This window comes from Homo sapiens, chromosome 1, assembly GCF_000001405.40.
Source record: "Homo sapiens chromosome 1, GRCh38.p14 Primary Assembly".
Classification (NCBI taxonomy): domain Eukaryota; kingdom Metazoa; phylum Chordata; class Mammalia; order Primates; family Hominidae; genus Homo; species Homo sapiens.
This window is the reverse complement of record NC_000001.11, coordinates 92,039,138-92,059,800: the sequence shown is the minus strand read 5'-3', so window position 1 is coordinate 92,059,800 and position 20,663 is coordinate 92,039,138. Positions and strand designations below refer to the sequence as shown.

General features: G+C 37.4%; 1 protein-coding gene across 1 annotated transcript in view; it reads right to left on the bottom strand.

The window, feature by feature from the left end:
* EPHX4 (epoxide hydrolase 4) overlaps nt 1-20,663 on the bottom strand; it is a 33,554-nt gene that overhangs the window by 3,738 nt on the left and 9,153 nt on the right. Inside the window, exons 3-6 of the mRNA NM_173567.5 lie at nt 16,821-16,978; nt 14,141-14,269; nt 9,381-9,484; nt 7,143-7,291 (exon numbers count right to left, since the gene is read on the bottom strand). Of these exons, the coding sequence (NP_775838.3) occupies nt 7,143-7,291; nt 9,381-9,484; nt 14,141-14,269; nt 16,821-16,978 (540 nt within the window). The remainder of the gene's footprint in view (nt 1-7,142; nt 7,292-9,380; nt 9,485-14,140; nt 14,270-16,820; nt 16,979-20,663) is intronic.

Sequence of the window (20,663 nt, the reverse complement as noted above, 5' to 3'; positions counted from 1 at the left end):
AATAAATTTTGATAATGCATAAAGGTCATCTTTTGTTAGAGTCATTCCTATATGCCTTAGAATTTTTTGTTGCATTTGCAGGTGCATCTGTTTAATAAATAAATGTTTTATAATTGTTGCTGATTTGTGAGACCATAATTTTGTATCTTGAACTTTTATATATCAACTTTGCTGAGCTGTTTTAATTTTGATAATTTTTCTGTAGATTCTCCTGTTTTTTCTAGATACATAAACACATTATCTATGAATTATTATTTCTTCCTTCCCCAATTCTCACTTTTTTTCCCTTATCTTACATGCTGGCTAAGACATAATATAGTGGTGAATAGAAGCAGTTATAGTAGTCAAGTTTATCTTTTTTTTTTGAGACAGGGTCTTGCTCTGTTGCCAAGGCTGGAGTGCAGTGACGGATCTGGGCTCACCGCAATCTCTGCCTCCTGGGTTCAAGCGATTCTCATGCCTCGACCTCCAGAATAGCTGGGATTACAGGCGCCCATCACCACAACCAGCTAATTTTTTGTATTTTTAGTAGAGACTGGGTTTCACTATGTTGGCCAGGCTGGTCTCGGACTCCTGGCCTCATGCGATCCACCTGCCTTGGCCTCCCAAAGTGCTGGGGTTCCAGGCGTGAGCCACTGCACCTGGCCCTCGAGTTTATCTTTATTCTTTATTTTTGAAAGAAATGCTTTTAGTGTTTCATCACAAAATGATGTTTACTATAGGTTTTTGGTAGACGAAGTTCCCTTCCTCATTGCTGTGGTAATGGAACTGTAATATGATTAACAGATAGACACCAACTGACACAGAGAATATAAAGTTTAATGACAAAGGAAAAAGAAACTTACAAAGATGGTTTCATAAAGCAGGAGATAATATATTACTCTCTCAGATACCAGTAGAACTTTCCAGGCCCTCCAAAGTTTCCCATGGAAATACAACTGTGGAGAGTACTACAAACGTATTACTTACTTTGTAATACAAAGCAAGTATTATACCATTTTAATAGAGGTTTTGTATCTCCTTGGCCCCAACTTCTGAAGAATCTTCTGTGCCTGCCAGCTCTCCAGGTGCAAATAACCAGTGCAAAACACCCTTGATGTTTTATTATTATTATTATTATTTCTGGGACAATTGAGTAAAGCAAAGGTCAGTTTCCCAGAAATACCCCTTCAGCAGATGCAGGCTTATCCCACCTCTCTGAGGTCCACTCCTTTCTCCTCTATTTCTAGATTACTAAGAATCGTTGCATGAATGTGCGTTAAATTTTATTAAACGCTTTTTCTTTATTTAGCTGTTCATATTTTCCCCTTTAATCTGATAATGTGGTAATCAAATTAATGGATTTTTTTTTTTTTTTCTGAGACGGGGTTTCGCTCTTGTTCCCCAGGCTGGAGTGCAATGGCGCGACCTTGGCTCACCACAACCTCCACCTCCCAGGTTCAACTGATTCTCCTGCCTCAGCCTCCCGAGCAGCTGGGATTACAGACATGCACCACCACGCCTGGCCAATTTTGTATTTTTAGCAGAGGTGAGGTTTCTCCATGTTGGTCAGACTGGTGTTGAACTCCCGAAGTCAGGTGATCCACCCACCTCGGCCTTCCAAAATGCTGGGATTACAGGTGTGAGCCACTGTGCCCAGCCTAATTAATTGATTTTTAATGCTAACTCATCCTTGGTTTAATTTTTTAATGCATGCTGAATTCATTTTGATATTTTATTTTGAATGTGTGGATCTATGTTTATAACTTAAATTGACCTATAATTTGCCTGTCTTATTCAATCCTTGTTTTGGTGTGAAAGTTACATTAGCCTCACAAGATGAGCTGAAACATATCTTCCTTTTATAATATCTGAAAGAGTATTTAACAGTGGGATTTTATGTGGTAAAACTTACCTGTAGGCCGGGTGCCGGTGGTTCACACCTGTAATCCCAGCATTTTGGGAGGCTGAGGTGGGTGGATCACCTGAGGTCAGGAGTTCCGAGACCAGCCTGGCCAACATGGTGAACCCCCATCTCTATTAAAAATACAAAAATTAGCCGGACACGGTGGTACACACCTGTGATCCAAGGTACTCGGGAGGCTGAGGCAGCAGAATCACTTGAACCTGGGAGGCAGAGGTTGCAGTGAGCCGAGATTGCACCACTGCACTCCAGTCTGGACGGCAGAGCAAGACTCCGTCTCAAAAAAAAAAAACAAACTTACCTGTAAAACCATCTAGGCTTCTATGTATGGGTGTGTATTTGTATGTCTATGTGTGTTATTATAGATATGCTTTAAACTCATATTGGTTTGCTATAAGTCTTTTCATGTTTTTGAATTCTTCATGAGTAGTTTTGGATAAGTTATGTTTTTCTTAAAAATTGCCTGTTTTGTCAAAGTTCTAAAATTTGTTAACTTAAACATTTATACCTTAATGTCTGTTACATTTGTATTAATAGTTATTTTTTTTACTGCTTTCTGGTTCCTAACTTTGTTTATTTGTGCCTTCTGTTTTTTCTTAACCATTCTTGCCAATAGTTTATGTATCTTAGTAGTCTTCATATAATCAGTTTTTGGTTTTGCCACTTATCTCTATTGTGTCTTTGTTTTTTATTGTATTAATTTTTGCTTTATATATGTAATTTAAATTATTTGTCTTCTAATTTATTTTTGTTTACATGTTCTTTTTCTAACTTCTTAAGTTGAACTCTTATCTCACTGATTTTCAATCTTCTTTTCTAATATAACCGTTAAAGCTATGTATTTCTTCTTAAGTATTGTTTTAACTATTCCTCATGTTTTGAAATATCATTTTTTCTAAGTTTTTACTAATTTCCATAGATTTTTTACCCAGAGTTATTCAGAAGTCAAATTTCTGTATATATGAGGTTTTCTAAAAGTTTGTTGCTATTGTTATTGATTTCTACTGTAATGTGTTCAGAGAAAATAATCTATGTAATATTTTTTGGTATTGGTTAAGATTTGCTTTGTAGTCCAGTAGGTAATCAATATTTGTAATATTCTTTACATGTTTGAATAGGCTGGGTATGGTGGCTCACACCTGTAATCTCAGCACTTTGGGAGGCTGAGGTGGGAGGATCGCTTAAGCCCAGGAGTTGGAGACCAGCCTGGGCAACATAGTGACACCTCACCACTATTAAAAAAAAAAAAAAAGAAAAGAATGTGTATTTTTCTAATTGTTATGTGCAGAGTTGTAAAATTTTTCATCAGATCAAAGATATTAATAGAGTTGTTCAAATCTTCCATACCCTTGTTAATTTGTTTCTGCTTGATTGATCAACTTCAGAGAGAGGTGGGTTAAAATCTCCTACAGTAATTATGGATTTGTCCATTTTTTCTTGTAAGACTGTCACATTTTGCTTTATTATTTGATGTTTTGTTATACGTTTAGAATTATCTTTTTGCAGTACAGGTTCTATAGCTAGTCTTATTCCTAGTTCATCCTGGTTCCTCAGTTCCAAATTTTGGCAAGTCTTTGGATGAGGACATAGTCCCAAGGAGGCTTAGGGTAATAAATGAGGGCTATTTTCATGCCTGACTATAATGTACTATACCTTATTTGTAGTCTTAACGTGCCTGTTTTTAATAGCCCTGTTTTTAATGATATACTCAGCTTTGCTTATCTATATAAAGAATTACTCAGAGGGGGGTCAGAGAGCTTCTAGAGGTCTAATGTAACTCTCCCCCAACTAGATTTAACCTACAACCAACTAGTTTAAAACTCCATCTTTTGCCTTGATAAAACTGTTTTGAAGTTTATAGGCCTGCTCGCTCTCATTCTCTTTCTCCCTCTCTCTCTCTCTCTCTCTCTGCTAATTAACAGGATTCCAGTGATTTCTCTTGGGAATGCAAGTCCTCCTAATAAACAACTATTAGTAAAAGAATCTCAGAAAGATGAGAATATTTTCCCTCTTTCCTTATAGATACTTACAACGTACTGTTCTACAACTCAAAGGAAGTGCGATAAAAAGATAAATTGAGAACATGTTTGAAAACTGTCATTCTCGTCTCCTATCCAAAATTAAGATTTTAAATCTTTTTTCTTGAATATAAAAAAAGACTTGTTTGAAAATGTGCCATTCTATTTTCTCTTTACGTTATTTGTAAAAAAAAACAGAAAACAAAAAACAAAAACAAACAAGAATACGTGAACTTCAGACATTGTTGTTTCAGACATTGTTGCTATATCCTATAAAATATAACCTGTAGCCTCTGCAATCTATCTGCCTTTCTAACCATTGCCTTGCTTGATAAACTGTTACCTACAAAGACCATTTAAATTAACATCTCTGTTTTGCCAAAGATATATATATATTTGTAAGTTTGTTCTTGTTATTCAAAAAAGATTTGGATTTACCTCTTCTTCCCTCATTCATATAATCTCATGACTCCCTTTGGATTCCACAGAGTTTGAAAGATTTTGTTTTATTTAAATCAATACCTGCTGTAACTTTCCATCTCTTACTTTCAACCATTTTGTGTCCTTGTGCTTTAATTGTAACTGTGCAAACACCATATAGATGGATTCTTTTAAAAATCCAATCTGATATTCTCTGTTTTGTAACTGGCAATATTAATATATAAATGCTGGTTGTGCATGCTGACATATTGAAATTGTTTTGTCATTTTAGTTTGTGCTTTCTATTTACCCTGCTTTGCTTCTTTTTCTCCCTTTCTGCCTTTTTGATAGTTTTAAATTTTTTTATTGACAGTTTTTAACTGATCATTTTCTTGTTCCCCTCTACTGGTTTGAAAATAATACTATTCTATTTCTATTATTTTATCACAAAAAATTATTAGCATATATATACATACGCAATTTCTAATTCTATCCTCCATAAAAATTACAACTTGCTTTTTACATTTTTACTTCATTATCTCTCTAAGCTACATTCTGGGTAATTTGGGGGGATTTATCTTTCAATTCATAATTCTCTTTGGCTTGTCTGATCTGCAATTTAACTCATCTATAGACTTCTAGATTTCAATGACCATATTTTTCATTTTCTAGAAGTTCTTTTTCAGCTCTTTCCAGCCTGTCTTGATATTACCTTATTCTTTTCTCATATTTTTTATTCTTTCTTATGTTTAATTATTTAAACATACTTTATAGTCCCTGTTAGTTCTATTATTTGAAAGTTGTAGGAGTTTGGCTGTGACTGTATTCTGACTGCTATTAATGGTAGGTTACTTTTTTTTTTTTTTTTTTTTGAGATGGAGTCTCTCTCTGTCACCCAGGCTGGAGTGCAGTGGCGTGATCTCGGTTCACTGCAACCGCCGCCTCCCAGGTTCAAGCGATTCTCCTACCTCAGCCTCCGAGTAGCTAGGATTACAGGCATGTGCCACCACACCCAGCTAATTTTTGTATTTTTAGTAGAGACAGGGTTTCGCCATGTTGGCCAGACTGGTCTCGAACTCCTGACCTCAGGTGATCTGTCCACCTCAGCCTCCCAAAGTGCTGAGATTATAGGCATGGCCCAGGTTGATATTTTTAAATTTGGATTATGAACTCATCTTTAGGGGACTTCATCTGTGGGAATATTGTGAGGCCTGAATTGAGATGTATCCTGGAGAAGTTTTGTCTTTGTTTCTGCCAGGCTTCCTGGGGAATGTTAACAGCCTAAGGCATGTTAACACATAATTTCTGCCCTGAGAATTCCAGAATCATGGAGGTAGCACAAATTCAAATCCCTAAACCTCAAATTCAAGGCCAGCTGTGGCTCCTAATTCTTAAGAGAAATGGAATCTCATTTTTTTCCCTAAGTACAGACCCAAACTGACAAATATCCATGTCTTATCTTTCACTCTATACTTTCTCCCCAGACAATATGTTCTAAAACCAAAGCTTGTCTCTACGTCAGTGACTCCCAGATCTTATATATCTTCATCCCAGATTCTCTCCTCTGAGTTCCAGACCCTACTACCCAACGGTGTATTTGAATATCTAAGGTATCACCCAAAAGTCAACTAGCCTAAGATCAATAAAATTCATGACTTTCCCATAAAAACTAGCCCTGTTCTAGCGTTTCCTCTCTCAGTAAATGGCATGCTTATCCATACTGCTGCACATGCCAGAAATCCAGGAGCCATATTTGATATCTCTCTTCTCATTCCCCCTCCAACCCATTGCCAACCCCTGTCAATTTTACCTCTTAAGTGTCTCTGAAATCTGCCCACTCTCTCCATCTCCACTGTTTTCAGACTAGTTGTTAAAGTTACCATCATCTCTAGCCTGGACTGCTGCAGTTTTCCCACATTTACTCTGAAAATTCTCTAATACATTCTCTGCACTATGACCACACTGAACTTATTCAAATACACATGTAGGTTGTTTTTCTTTTCTGCTTGAGATTCTCATTCACTGGCTTCGCATTCATGGCTTTTACATCCTTCATATGGTCTACTTACCCACCTCTTGGACCCAGCCTCATAATGCTCTTCTTACCCTTACTTTCTGTGCTCCAGCCAAGAAGCCCTAATTCTGTTGCTTGAAGCTACAACCCTCCTCCATCTTCCCACAGGGCTTTGGTACCTGCTGTTTCCTTTTTCTGGAATGCCTGTCCCCCTGTCCCCAATCTTGTTTAGTCAATACCTAACTCATCCTTCACTTCTTTGGTCTAACATTATTTCCTCAGTTCTCATCTCTTTCTTTCAAAGCCTTTCTGTTAGTTTATAACTATTCACTCATTACTGTGGTTATTTGCTTAATGTCTGTTTTCCCTATTAGGCTACAAGTTTTGTGAGATCAGAGACCTTATCTAGTTTTGCTTATTACTATGTTCTGAGTAACTAACACAGCCCAGAACATAGTGGTTAATAAATATTTCTTGAATAAATAAATCATCATTTAAAAAGAACTAAAAATATACATCTATTCCAAATAATCTAAAAGGAGAGAATAAGTTGATAGAGTTATGGATAAAACAAGTGACAGCTACATGAAGGATTTGTTATATTACTCTGTCTACTTTTCCATATGTTTGAAATTGTCCATAAAAAGATTATGCAACTTACTAAAAAAATTAAAATACCTTATTTGAGTCTTTGGATAAGTGGTGAACTTAACCTTAAAAATAAAATATTGTCCCTGTAGGATCAGACTGAAATATTTTTATTTAACTAAAAAGAAATTATACTTACCTGAAGATATTTCGGTAATGGTTAATTGGGCCACTTAATGCTCCAGGCTGAGAAAAGACATAAATATAAGCTTCAAGATCCTCTGTTGTTAATTGGCATCCTTTTCTTCCAATGCCAGTGCTGTGACTGGTAAACAGATGTTTCAAAACCTAATTTAAGTGAGAAAACAATAATTAAAACTTTTTTGTTATCTAATAATAAGCTAAGTCTTTGGCTTTGGAAAGGGGATGGTGGTCATTGTGTGGTGACAACTCCTAATTTCTGCTCTAGCCAAGTTTGAGATCTCATTGTTTATACATATATATTCTATGCATTTCTGCTTTCCTGGCTTTATTTTTTCTATATTCTTCCCTTCTAATCCCCCCTGCACACTGCATTTTTATAAAAAGCATCCTGTCTTCTTGGTGCCTATTCATATTCTACAAGGCCCAGCTCAAGAGTTCCTTGGATAAATGACTAATTCCCCTTCTGGGCAGGAAATAAAAGATAAGCCCAGGGCATTGAGGAGGCAAGCTATCACTGACTAAAGGGATTATGTCAAAAAGCCACAAAAGCCAACCTGAAAGGATGCCTCATTTGATGCCTATTGTGGGATAATTTGGGCATCCAAAAGAATAATGTCTCTAACTGACTGATATATATCAAATATATATTCATTACTCTAAAAGTTGTTTGTAAAAAGAAAAAGAATGAGCATATATCCTGCCATTCTTGTGTGAACTATATTTCAGAATAAATAGTAGATGTGGAAAAATTCTTTACAGCAGAATTTCAATTAAAAGCAGAAAGAATTATAAAATTAGAAAATAACCATTTTTCATACCCTAATGAAATAATGGGCCTAGGCTATGATCACTAATGTATACTAAAATTAATTTGGTGGAAGGATGTTAGGAAATTTTGGATAGGCTGACAACTCATGAGCCCACTGATCACTGTTAGCATTAGTAAAACTGGACCAAGTAGGTATCATGCATTTCCCTGATGGGATGCGTTAGGAAATACACAGCACCACCTATTAAGTATCCTTTTCAAATTAAAATTTAATCAAGCCTCTAGATCACCAATACCTATGAAGTAGGAAAAACAAGGGTTAGAGGAACAAGTTAAATACCACCATGATGAAGCAATCAGCCAAATCCAAAATATGGATCTTTCCTCAGGGCAAATTTCTTCAATAAATAAGTGATATTAAAAAAAAATTAGAAAAAAAAGAAAGAAGGCACTAGTATACATTTTAAAAGCCATAACAACTAAATACAAGGTATAGACTTTGGTTCCTGATTCAAACAAATGAAGTATATCAAGACAGTTATGACAGTTAATGAAATTTGAATGGGTATTAAATGATATTAAGGAGTTGTCATTTATTCTGTTAGGTTTGATAGTGGCATTGGGTTTTTTTTTTTTTAAGTTCTTATCCCATCACAGTTATACACATAATTATTTACAGGTAAAATTATATTATACCTTTTAAAAATCCTCACCAATATCTAACACCATGATGGACATGTAAGAAGCATTTATGTCGGGAGTGGTGGCTTATGCCTGTAATCCCAGCACTTTGGGAAGCCGAGGTGGGAGGATTGCTTGAGGCCAGGAGTTTCAGACCAGCCTGGGCAACATGGTAAAACCCAGTCTCTACAAAAAATACAAAAACTAGCGGGGCATGGTGGCACATGCCTGTAGTCCCAGCTACTTGGGAGGCTGAGGTGAGAGGATTGCTTGAGCCTGGGAGGTTGAGGCTGCAGTGAGCTGCACTCCAGCCTGGGTGACAAAGCAAATTCCTGTCTCAAAAACAAAGCAAAACAAAAAAATAAAAAGAAGAATTTAATAAATTTCCAAGATACTTGCATATGACTACTGGTGTCAGTGTATGTGTGACACTAATATCTGAATGTTTACTTTGTTTAGGGCTTTTTTTTTTTAACCCCGAAGTCTTCTACTTCTGCTGCTATTAAACCTGATATTTGTATTCCCTCATCTCCCTATGAGACGTTCTCTAAGAAGGGGTATGCCCATAGGGGCACAGTCTTACAAAAATTTGAAGAACAGCCAGGTATTTAAATACATAAACAGAGACTATGAAAATAAGCAAGACTATAGTTAAGTTCTTAAAACCATTTAAGTTATAATAATTTCCTTTCATTTTTCATTATTCTTCTTAAACGTGGACTTTAAAATATTTTTCATTAATAATAATAATAATACATTATTTGTTTGATTTGTTTGGCTTACCTTGAAATCATTTATTGAGAACATAAATTCTGGGAACCATGGTATTTGGAAGAAGTAATAATAACTGGATTTCAACAGCTGAGCAGGGTGTCGTAAAATATATTCTGAAATTAAAATGCCATGTTAGACCTTATCCAAGGGGTATAAATTACTTACTGTTAGAAGAACTTCTTTTTAGGACAATTTTACTTTAAGATGATCCCATAAAAGAATCCATAAGTAAGGCTTCTTTGGAACAATTTCTATGCTCTTATATCTTGAGTAATTCCGGTATTTCCAAAATTTATACCACTTTATTATTTTTTTTATTTTTTATTTTTTTGAGACAGAGTCTTGCTCTGTTGCCCAGGCTGGAGTGCAATGGCGCGATCTCAGCTCACTATAACCTCTGCCTCCTGGGTTCAAGCGATTCTCCTGCCTCAGCTTCCTGAGTAGCTAGGATTACAGGTGCCCACCACCGAGCCCGGCTAATTTTTTGTATTTTTAGTAGAGGCAGAGTTTCGCCATGTTGGCCAGGCTGGTTTCGAACTCCTGACTCAGGTGATCTGCCCACCTCGGCCTCCCAAAGTGCTGGGATTACAGGCATGAGCCACCACGCCTGGTCTTATACCACTTTAAATAAAAAGGTTTCACTTTATGAAATCTTGACTCAAAAGGGAACAGGAAGCCCAAACAACGCTGCTTTTCCTCCAAGGTCATTATCAGTGACCTACCACTTTTCCTAGGAATACATGGTGATGTAATTTTCGGTTGTTTAAAAGATTTTCCTTACAAGTTGATTCAAATTGAATGCCTTGTTCATCTGGCCTCAAAAGGAACTGAAGTTTTTCCTATAAATTCATTGATGTATCTAGAAAACTCATTCATTCAATGAATATTTGACTATCTACTGTGTGCCAAGGGATTTAGCAGTGAACAAGACAGAAAAGGTTCCCACAAACAATGAACTTACACAATAAATAAGTCCAAATGCTTACAAGATCACTTTAGAGAGCAATAATACCATAAAGAAAATAAAAGAAGGCAATCTGATTGACAGTGATGGTAGGGTGGAGTGGAGGGACTGCTACATAGTAGAAGTAGTCAAGAAGGCCTCTCTGGGATGTGATGTTTGCTGAATCCTGAATGGTTACAGGGAGTCAGCTGTGCAAAGATCTACGGAGAACATCCAGGAACAGCAAGTAGATCCTGGGCTTGGTACATTCCAGATGCAGAAAGGCCTTTGTTGCTGGTGTATAATGAATGAGAGGAAGATGGTATATGATGAGTCAGAAAGAAAAGCAGAAGCCTGATCATGTAGGACCAGAATAATAAGATTTTATTTTAAGTGCTTTGGGAAGACACTAAAGTTTTAAACTGGTGAGTTTATATATAAATATATATACATATATATTCATATATAATAAAAAAGTGTGTAAAGCCAGGCATGGTGGCTCATGCCTGTAATCCCAGTGCTGTGAGAGGCTGAGGGAGGAAAACTGCTTGAAGCCAAGGGTTTGAGACCAGCCTGGGCAACATAGCAAGATACTGTCTCTACAAAAAAAACAGTGGTGTAAGCCTGTAGTCCCAGCTACTTGGGAGGCTGAGGTGGGAGGATCACTTGAGCCCAGCCTTGAGGTCAAGGCTTCAGTGCACTATGATTATGCCACTGCACTCCAGTATGGGGGACAAAATGAGATCCTAAATGAGATCCTGTCTCTAAAAAAATGGGAAAAAAAGTCTATGCTTGAGTACTATGCAATCTTATTTTCCTTACTCTAAAAGTCATTTTTTCTTATTTCCCATTTCATAACTATATTCAACATGGAGTTTTTAGAAGTATAATTTTCAGATAAGTATACCATTGTTATACTATAGTTTTTGCAAAGTCATAATTTAACAAGATTTATTCACCCCTGCATTAAGAGATAACAATACAATTAGGGGAAAAATATAGGCAAGTTATTTGAAAGCCTCATATTGACCTGACAGGGCAGAAACAATTATTGATAAAATAATTCCAGAAATATTCCAAGTATTTTCTTGCTGAAATCACCAGCTACAGTTTGTCCATATAGCACCACCACCAAAATAAGATTTACTCTTGGGTCCTGATCAATTGAACGAGCATGTAGCATGACTTCTGCTGTTGAATTCAAACTAGAAAAATACAGTGACTCTCAGGACATTTGAATCCTAAGCATCCATCCCACTATACCTCACTATACCAAGTGATAGGTCAGTTGGATATGTATCTAAAATTCAACTCAACACTTACATTGACTTATATATTTACATAGTCATGGTCCCTTTCTTCCTTACCTGTTTAATTTTTAGGAAGAAATAGAAATATGTGGTTCTGAATTTTTTATTTCCTAGAGTCCTGCTGTGGGTAGTAGTAGTACTTGAACCTCAGAAAACTTAACAAGAGTAAAGAATACAAAATTATTAATTTTTGCCAAAACCAAATAAAAATGTGCCCGGCCATGGTTCACAGGTCTTTAATCACTATTAAGTTTTTAAGAGTTGCCTTTAAAGTGGAGGTTCTCAAAGTATCGTCCATGTGAATCCCTGGGGATTCCCAAGACTTTTTAAGGTATCCAGGTGGTCAAAACTATTTCATAGCAATATTAAGATATTTATTTGCTTTTTTCTCACCATATTGATATTTGCACAAGTACTACAAAAGCAATGATGGTTAAAGCCACTGCTGATTTAGCACAAATCAAGGCAGTGGCACTGAACAATACTAGTAGTCATCCTATTCTTCACCACCACACACTGGTGGCAAACTAACTAATTAATTACATTTAATTAAGTGCTGGATTCACTTAACAGTGTCCTTGATGAAACAGCAAAAAACATTAATTAAACTTGACCTTTGAGTACATCTTTTTAATATTCTATGTAATTAAATAGAAAGTACACATAAAGCAGTTCTGCTGTCTCAAGACAACACAAATACAATGATTGTCCCAAGGAAAAGCACTTCTACAATTTTTTTGAGTTGATGGGTTGAATTAGCTGCTTTTTTTTTTTTTTGAGACAGGGTCTCACTTTGCCACCCTCAGCTGGCACAATCTCAGCTCACTGCAGCCTCAACCTCCTGAGCTTAAGTGATCTTCCTGCTTCAGCCCCCCAGGTAGCTGGGACTACAGGTGCACACCACCACACCCAGCTAATTTTTTGCTGCATTTTTAAATGTAACATTATTTTACTTGAAAGAATGACTAACAACCAATCATCAGTCAGACATGGGTATTTGTCGGATAATCTCTTGAAAGTTAACAAAGTGAGCCTATCATGTCAAGGAAAACAATCATCAGTAGTTGTGCCATTGATAAAAATCAGACTTTCAAATGAACCTTAGAACTTTGGAAAACTTATATCTGCTACTGTGAGCTTCACAGCTTTGCAATACTTTAAAGGCTTTTCTGATGAGATTAGGGTGATGTCAAAGAATGTGATTTTTTGATCCTGTATGATGAAATGTGTCAACTTATGGAAGATCTGCATAAATCAGTGAACAAACATCTTACAATGCATGATGATACAAAACCAGGCATGGATAAAAGATACAATAAAAGTGCTAGGGAGACCTGTGGGTTTTAATAGAGTATAGTATTAAAAAATCATTTATTTGCCATCACATTCCACATTGTTACCTTTAAGAAACCATTGGCAGGGCGCGGTGGCTCACGCCTGTAATCCCAGCACTTTAGGAGGCTGAGGCGGGCGGATCACAAGGTCAGGCATTTGAGACCAGCCTGACCAGCACGGCGAAACCCTGTCTCTACTAAAAATACAAAAATTAGCCAAGCATGGTGGCGGGTGTCTGTAGTCCCAGCTACTCGGGAGGCTGAGGCAGGAGAATCGCTTGAACCCAGGAGGTGGAGGTTGCAGTGAGCCGAGATGGCGCCACTGCACTCCAGCCTGGGCGACAGAGCGAGACTCCATCTCAAAAAAACAAAAACAGAAACAAAACAAAACCATTAATTTTTAAGTTTGGTATAGTATTAAGAAAGAAAATCCACAGTTATCTGAAAAGGCTATTAAAATACTCCTCCCTTTTCCAATTACAGATCTGTGTGAGGCCAAATTTCCTCACATACTTCAATGCAAACAACATATTGCAACAGATTGAAGAGATTTGCAAAAATGTAAAACGATGACACTCTTTTCACTAAAATTTTGTTTTGGAAGATGTAGTTAGCTTTCATTTAAAATATGTTATTTATGTTAACATGTAATGGTTTATTTCTTTTGATGAATTAACATATAAATATTTTTAAATTTCTATTTTAATTTCCAATACAGTGAATATTTATAAACCATATAAGTAAAAGCTCAATGGGGTCTTTAATAATTTTAAGAGCATATAGAAGCCCAAGACCAAAAAATGTGAGAACTGCTTTAAAGAATACTGCTATTCCTGACAGCCAAAGCAGTCAAGCAAAAGGAGAATTTATTTCTAGGCTGTCAGGATTCATTACTGTCAAAGCAATGTCATTGTATGTTTCCCTTTATCCCTCCCCAAGTTAACAGTAAAATCTTTTTTTGAAGGAATAAAATTATGTAAGCAAGTATAAAGCTAAATTTTCTTAGATTCCCCAGGAAGATTGAAAACCAAGGTATCTGACACTGTCATGTGCTATCATGGTTTAGTCATTTAATTTTAAAATATGATAGTAACCAAATTTTGCTGTTTCTAATCCAAAAGGTCAGTGGCAAGAGTGAATTGTCACATTAGCAGAACTGTTTTGATAAAAACTTGAACTCACCTGTAAATACATTTGGATGAGGGAAGTTAATAACAATAAGCTTCATCACCATTTCAGGATAACAGATGGCAATTAGCCAAGCAATCATGCCCCCCCAGTCATGGCCAATAAGAACACATTTGCTATACCCTGTAAACAAGAAATAAATGTTGACATCATTAAAAAGAAACAGGTGGGTGCACTGTTACCTCACATAAAATAGTTATACTTCTGAAGTACCTCTTTTCATTATCTTATCCTAATTATGCACTTTGTGCAGATATTGAATTCAGTGGTTCCAAAACTTGTCTGTACATCACCTATATAGCTCCACTCTAAACCTATAGATTGAGAATCTCTCCCAGGAATCCATATTAAAAAAAAAAAAATCTGAAATAGGCCGGTGTGGTGACTCACACCTATAATCTCAACACTTGTGAGGCCAAAGCAGGAGGATTGCTTGAGGCCAGGAGTTCGAGACCAGCCTGGGCAACATAGCAAGACCTCCCCCCAACACACACACCCAGCCGTCTCTACAAAAAAATAAAGAAATTATCCAGGTGTGGTGGTGTCCACCTGTAGTACAAGCAACTGTAGAGCCTGGAGTGGGAGGATCCCTTGAGCCCAGGACTTCAAGGCTGCAGTGAGCCATGATCATGCCACTGCATTCCAGCCTGGGTGACAGAGCGAGACCGAGACTCTGTTTCTAAAAAAGAAAAAAAGTGTGGGGGGGTACAAAAGAAACAAAAGAAACATCTGAAATAGCTTATGTTGCTCAGCTCTGGTCCCATGGACCTGAGTTTGGAAACCATGGTAAAGACTGCACATAATGAAGTCAAAAGTAAGATTATTTGGTTTTTTTTTGAATGCTCAGAAATTTCTAGTTATAGTAAAATTATAAATGTCTCATCTATGTCCAACCTCATAAATCTTTATTTCCAGGAAGCATCTATCTCTTCCCTAACTTCACAAATCCTATGTACAATTCAACACAGAAAATCTGTCACTAATTTGGAACTGTGAAGTCAAACTGAAGTAATGGAAAGTCTTAATTATAGCACCAATTTTGCACCAGTTTCATTTCATGTAATCACTCGGTTAATTTAAAGTACGTTAAAATGTTGATTAATAGAGATTCCTACAGGATTTCCATTGTATGGATGCATAAAATTCATTTGTAATTTATTCCTGGAGTACTTAAAATTGCTTAATTCTTTCAAGGAAGTAATTCTCACCATCACTCCTCACTACTATACTAATACACACACGTAGACATAAACACACATGCATAAATCTTGTTTATATTAATTATTTGCCTAAAAATTTCATGATGACAAATTTAGGCCAGGTCTGACTGAATTATCACAAAATTTGAAATATAATTGTTCAAAATCAGTGTCTGAGTCTCTTTTACTGTAATCAGACTAAATGACAATATTGTATGTGACACCCCCAGACCCCATTCATTTTTTTTCCCCTAAAAATATTGGCCTGATCCATGCTCTCATTAGATTACTGTAGAAAGTGCCTTTGATTTCATGGTATTTCTCACTATATTGCTTCCATTAACATACTGATGGTAGCAGCTTGGTTTCAGTCAAAAGGGATATAGTATTAATAGATTGGATTATTGTTAAAAAATATTTACTTTCCCCTTCTCCCTGCTGTCACAGTAGTCTACTTGCTGCCCCTTTGATTTTAGACTTGGCCATGTGATTTGCTTTGGTCTCGTGGTGGCTATGTAGCTTGACTTTGGGCTCCACCATATGACTTGCTTTGACTAATGGGCTGCCGGTAGAAACTTAAGCTTGTGCACCTGGGCTCACCCTCTACCATCGCCAGGAAAAAAGCTTCCCTCAGGCAGCCACTCCCTTTTAGCTTGGGCTCCAGCCCAACTCACAGAGAGAAGCCAGTCCCAGCTGGACCTGCAGCCTGAGGCAAAGACCAGAGGAGTCCAGCCTACGGTTAACCTGCAGATCCATGAGCACAGGAAAAAATGGTTATGACCCTATGCCACCGAATCTGGGGTGGTTTGTTCCACAATATTATGTGGTTCTAACTGATTGATACAACAGAAATAATGCAAGTGCATCTGTATAACATTTTAAAATGAATATTTAGGTGTGTGTTCTAAAGAAATAAACTTTCTAAGTATAAACTTTTCAATAATTATTTCTCAAAATAATAAACAGCATACATTAGGTCTATTTTTTTTTTTTTTTTTTTTAAACAGAGTCTCATTCTTGTTGCCCAGGTTGGAGTGCAACGGCACGATCTTAGCTCACTGCAACCTCCATCTCCTGGGTTCACGCCTGGCTAATTTTTGTATTTTTAGTAGAGACAGGGTTTCAACATGTTGGTCAGGCTGGTCTTAAACTCTGACCTCAGGTGATCTGCCCGCCTCAGCCTCTCAAAGTGCTGGGATTATAGGCGCAAGCCACAGCACCCGGGCCATTAGGTCTATGTTTAAAAACAAATCTGAAAAGTCATTCTTGGCTGGTAGACAGAATAGTTGCTCTAGATGCATCATTTTAAATTTCCTGTACAGATATTTTGGGCTGACTAACTGAAACCATAGTGACAGGATCCAGATAATTTGGGTAGATGGAATATGCATCCTCCCAAGAAAAGAAGTCATTGATTCACAATTTGTTGAATGTTTGTCCCTTAAAAAGAGTTGTTTTGTTTCAAACTAACCTACCTAAAGAATCTAAAATATCCTTTATATCTGTAATTAGACAATCCAATTTATAATTCTGTCGATGAATGGGAGCATCTGTTTCTCCATAACCTCTCAAATCCAGTGCTACAACTCGATATTCACTTTTAAATTCTCTCAGTTGGTAACGCCAAGAATACCTGCAGGAAAAAAGGAAGCATTTAAAATATCATATTAGCTAGTACAAACAGTAACATTACAGATTTTCTTTTTCCTTTCTTTTTTTTTTTTTTTTTTTGAGACAGAGTTTTGCTCTGTCACCCAGGCTGGAGTGCAGTGGTGCAATCACAGCTCACTGCAGCCTCAACCTCCCTGGCTCAAGTGATCCTCCTGCCTCAGTTTCCTAAAAAGCCGAGACTACAGGTGCACACCATCACACCCAGCTAATTAAAAAAATTTTTTGTAGACACGGGGTCTCCCTATGTTGCCAGGGCTGGTCTCAAACTTCTGGGCTCAAGTGATCCTCATGCCTTAGCCTCCCAAAGTGCTGAGATTACAGGTGTGAGCCACTGCACCTGGCCACATTTCAGATTTTCTCAGTGGAAAACTGTAAGAAATTCCTTATTTTTAGAACAGATATATAGCTGCAAGTAAGCAGGAAAGAGACCTACTTGAGAAGGAAACACTGACATTCTATGAGAATTATTTTGTCTTTTTACCAGTTCCACTGGAGGGTAACAAAGTGCCACTATTTACAGAAACTACATAGTATCAGATACTAAAATCATTGTACTTATATATGTCTTAATAAGTCCATTTTTAAAAAATTGAAACAGGGTCTCACTATGTTGCCCAGGCTGGTCTCGAACTCCTGGCTCAAGTGATCCTCCTGCTTCAGCCTCCCAAAGTGCTAGGATTACAGGTGTGAGCTAACATGTCTGGCCAATAAGTCAATTTTTTGTTTGTTTGTTTTGAGACAGAGTTTCGCTCTTATTGCCCAGGCTGGAGTGCAATGGCATGATCTTGGCTCACTGCAACCTCTGCCTCCCGGGTTCAAGCAATTCTCCTGCTTCAGCCTCCCAAGTAGCTAGGATTACAGGCATGTGCCACCACACCTGGCTAATTTTTGTATTTTTTTCTTTTTAGTAGAGACAGGGTTTCTCCATGTTGGTCAGGCTGGTCTTGAATTCCTGACCTCAGGTGATTGGCCCACTTCAGCCTCCCAAAGTGCTGGGATTACAGGTGTAAGCCACTGCACCTGGCCAAATAAGTCAATTTTTAAAGCTTTTCTTAAATGGTGTGTATAGCCACCAGGGAATCTGTACTATGAACAGTTAGTTATTTTACAGCCCGAATTTCTAGATAATAAATGGATTATCAAGTATAAAAAAGTGAGTGGGAAGATGAGTTTGACAGTTTTACCAAAACATCTGAATGCTTATCTGGCCCAGGAATTTCAGTGGAGTAACATAAGTAAAATGCTTCTGTATTGCAGAACCATTTGATTCTCTGATTGAAAAAATTTACTAGATGAAATTTTATATTTCTCTCACAAGTAGATGTTACTCACCTTACTCCACTGTCAAATAGGGTCAAAGTTTTAGTAATAACCACAGCTTATTTATGGGTGAAAAAGTCTGAAGGTTTTTTAAAAAAGATTATCACTGAAATAATCTAATAATAAAACAACCATTTAAGATAAACCTCTGCTTGCTAAAGCAAAATTCTGTGGAGAAGATCCTGAACCATGAGAATAAGCAAGAGTGATACTAAAAACATTTAACAACCAAAATGGCACCAGCACTGACCAATTAGAAGGGCCACAGTGCTGCAGCCAAGTTCTGGAGGCCACTGCTGAGCCAGGCATTCCCCCTCTGCTTGATCATGGAACTGCAGAATTAATCGAAATAGAGAGATCCATAAGATTTTCTTCTTCAAATAAGCAAAACCATTTTAGATAACCAACAGAAAAAAAAGACATGGATTTTTAAAAGTGACTCACTATGTTATGGGACTCAAAATATGCATTAAAAAAAAGCATCTGCATGCACATTTGTTCATGGAAATACAGTGTAAAATTATCTGACACAAGCCAAGTGGGAGATCATTGTCTGAAAATACTTTTGGAGTGCAGTAGGCAAGCTAACGCAACTGAATGTTAAGATTATAAACCAGTGTAAAGATTGTAATATAAGATTATAAGCCTGAGAGGGGGGCTGCGATGTGAAGTGACACACAACAGTAAGATCAATGTAACAAACAGGCCAGGTGCGGTGGCTCACATCAGTAATCTCAGCACTTTGGGAGGCCAAGGTGGGCAGATCACTTAAGCTCAGGAGTCTGAGACCAGCCTAGGCAACATGGTGAAACCCTGTCTCTACAAAAAATTAAAAAATTAGGCCGGGTGCGGTGGCTCACGCCTGTAATGCCAGCACTTTGGGAGGCCGAGGCAGGTGGATCACCTGAGGTCATGAGTTCAAGACCAGCCTGACCAATATGGAGAAACCCCGTTTCTACTAAAAATACAAAATTAGCCAGGCATGGCAGTGCATGCCTGTAATCCCAGCTACTTGGGAGGCTGAGGCAAGCGGCGGAGGTTGAGGTGAGCTGAGATCGTCCCACTGCACTCCAGTCTGGGCAACAAGAGCAAAACTCCATCTCAAAAAAAAAAAAAAAAAAATTTGCTAAGTATGGTGTCGTGTGCCTGTGGTCCCATATACTCAGGAGCCTGAGGTGGGACGATGGCTTAAGCCCAGGCGGCAGAGTTTACAGTGAGCTGTGATCGCGCCACTGCACTCCAGCCTGAGTGACAGAGCCAGAACCTGCCAAAAAAAAAAAAAAAAAAATCATTGTAACAAATCAACCACCTTATATCATCAGGAAGAGTGTCAGACACATATTTGGAATTATGAATGAATATAGAATTTTTTGATCTATCACTAGGATATTTATGATTTATGAAAATCTGCCAAAGCATTGCCAACTAAGATGGATTTGAAAATGTTAATAAACAACAAAAACAATAAAAGAATAACAACAAAAAAGAAAATGCTAATAAACATGTCTTCTGGCTGGGCGCAGTGGCTCACGCCTGTAATCCTAGCACTTTGGAAGGCCAAAGTGGGCGGATGGCTTGAGGTTAGGAATTTGAGACCAGCCTGGCCAACATGGTGAAACCACGTCTCTACTAAAAATACAAAAATTAGCCAGGCGTGGTGGCGGACACCTGTAATCCCAGCTTCTAGGGAGGCTGAGGCAGGAGAATCGCTTGAACCCGGGAGATGGAGGTTGCAGTGAGCCGAGATCGAGTCACCGCACTCCAGCCTGGGCAGCAAGAGGGAAACTCTGTCTCAAATAAATAAATAAATAAATTAATTAAATAAACGTGTCTTTTTTGGCTAGACTGTAGTAATGTTGTTAATCTTGTCTGTGGATTGTAACAAATAAAGTAGCTTGTTTCCTTAAAGATACTCATCTGTCAACACATGTGATTGTATTTTTTCTGATTTGCCTTACTTAAAATTTTGAATTGATTTTTTATGTCTTCATAACTGAAGCCTAATTCTTCCCTCTTTATAATCCATCCTACCCAATCAATAAAGTTCTGTTCATTTAACCTCTTAAATATTTATTTAAACACTCTTGTCTACCATTCTATCATTACCTTAATTCAGGCCTCCATTTAGGCAGCAGCCTATTGCTTGGTCTAAGTGTGTCGCTTTCATTCCCCTCTGCTCTATCTTCTACAAAACCAGTGATGTAGCAAAGACACAAACTCATGTCATTTCGTTGCTGAAAATCCTTTCTTGACTCCCTATTACCCATAACATGAAGTTCTAGCTTATTATTCTAGCAGAAAAAAATCTGAAAGATTTGACTATTGCC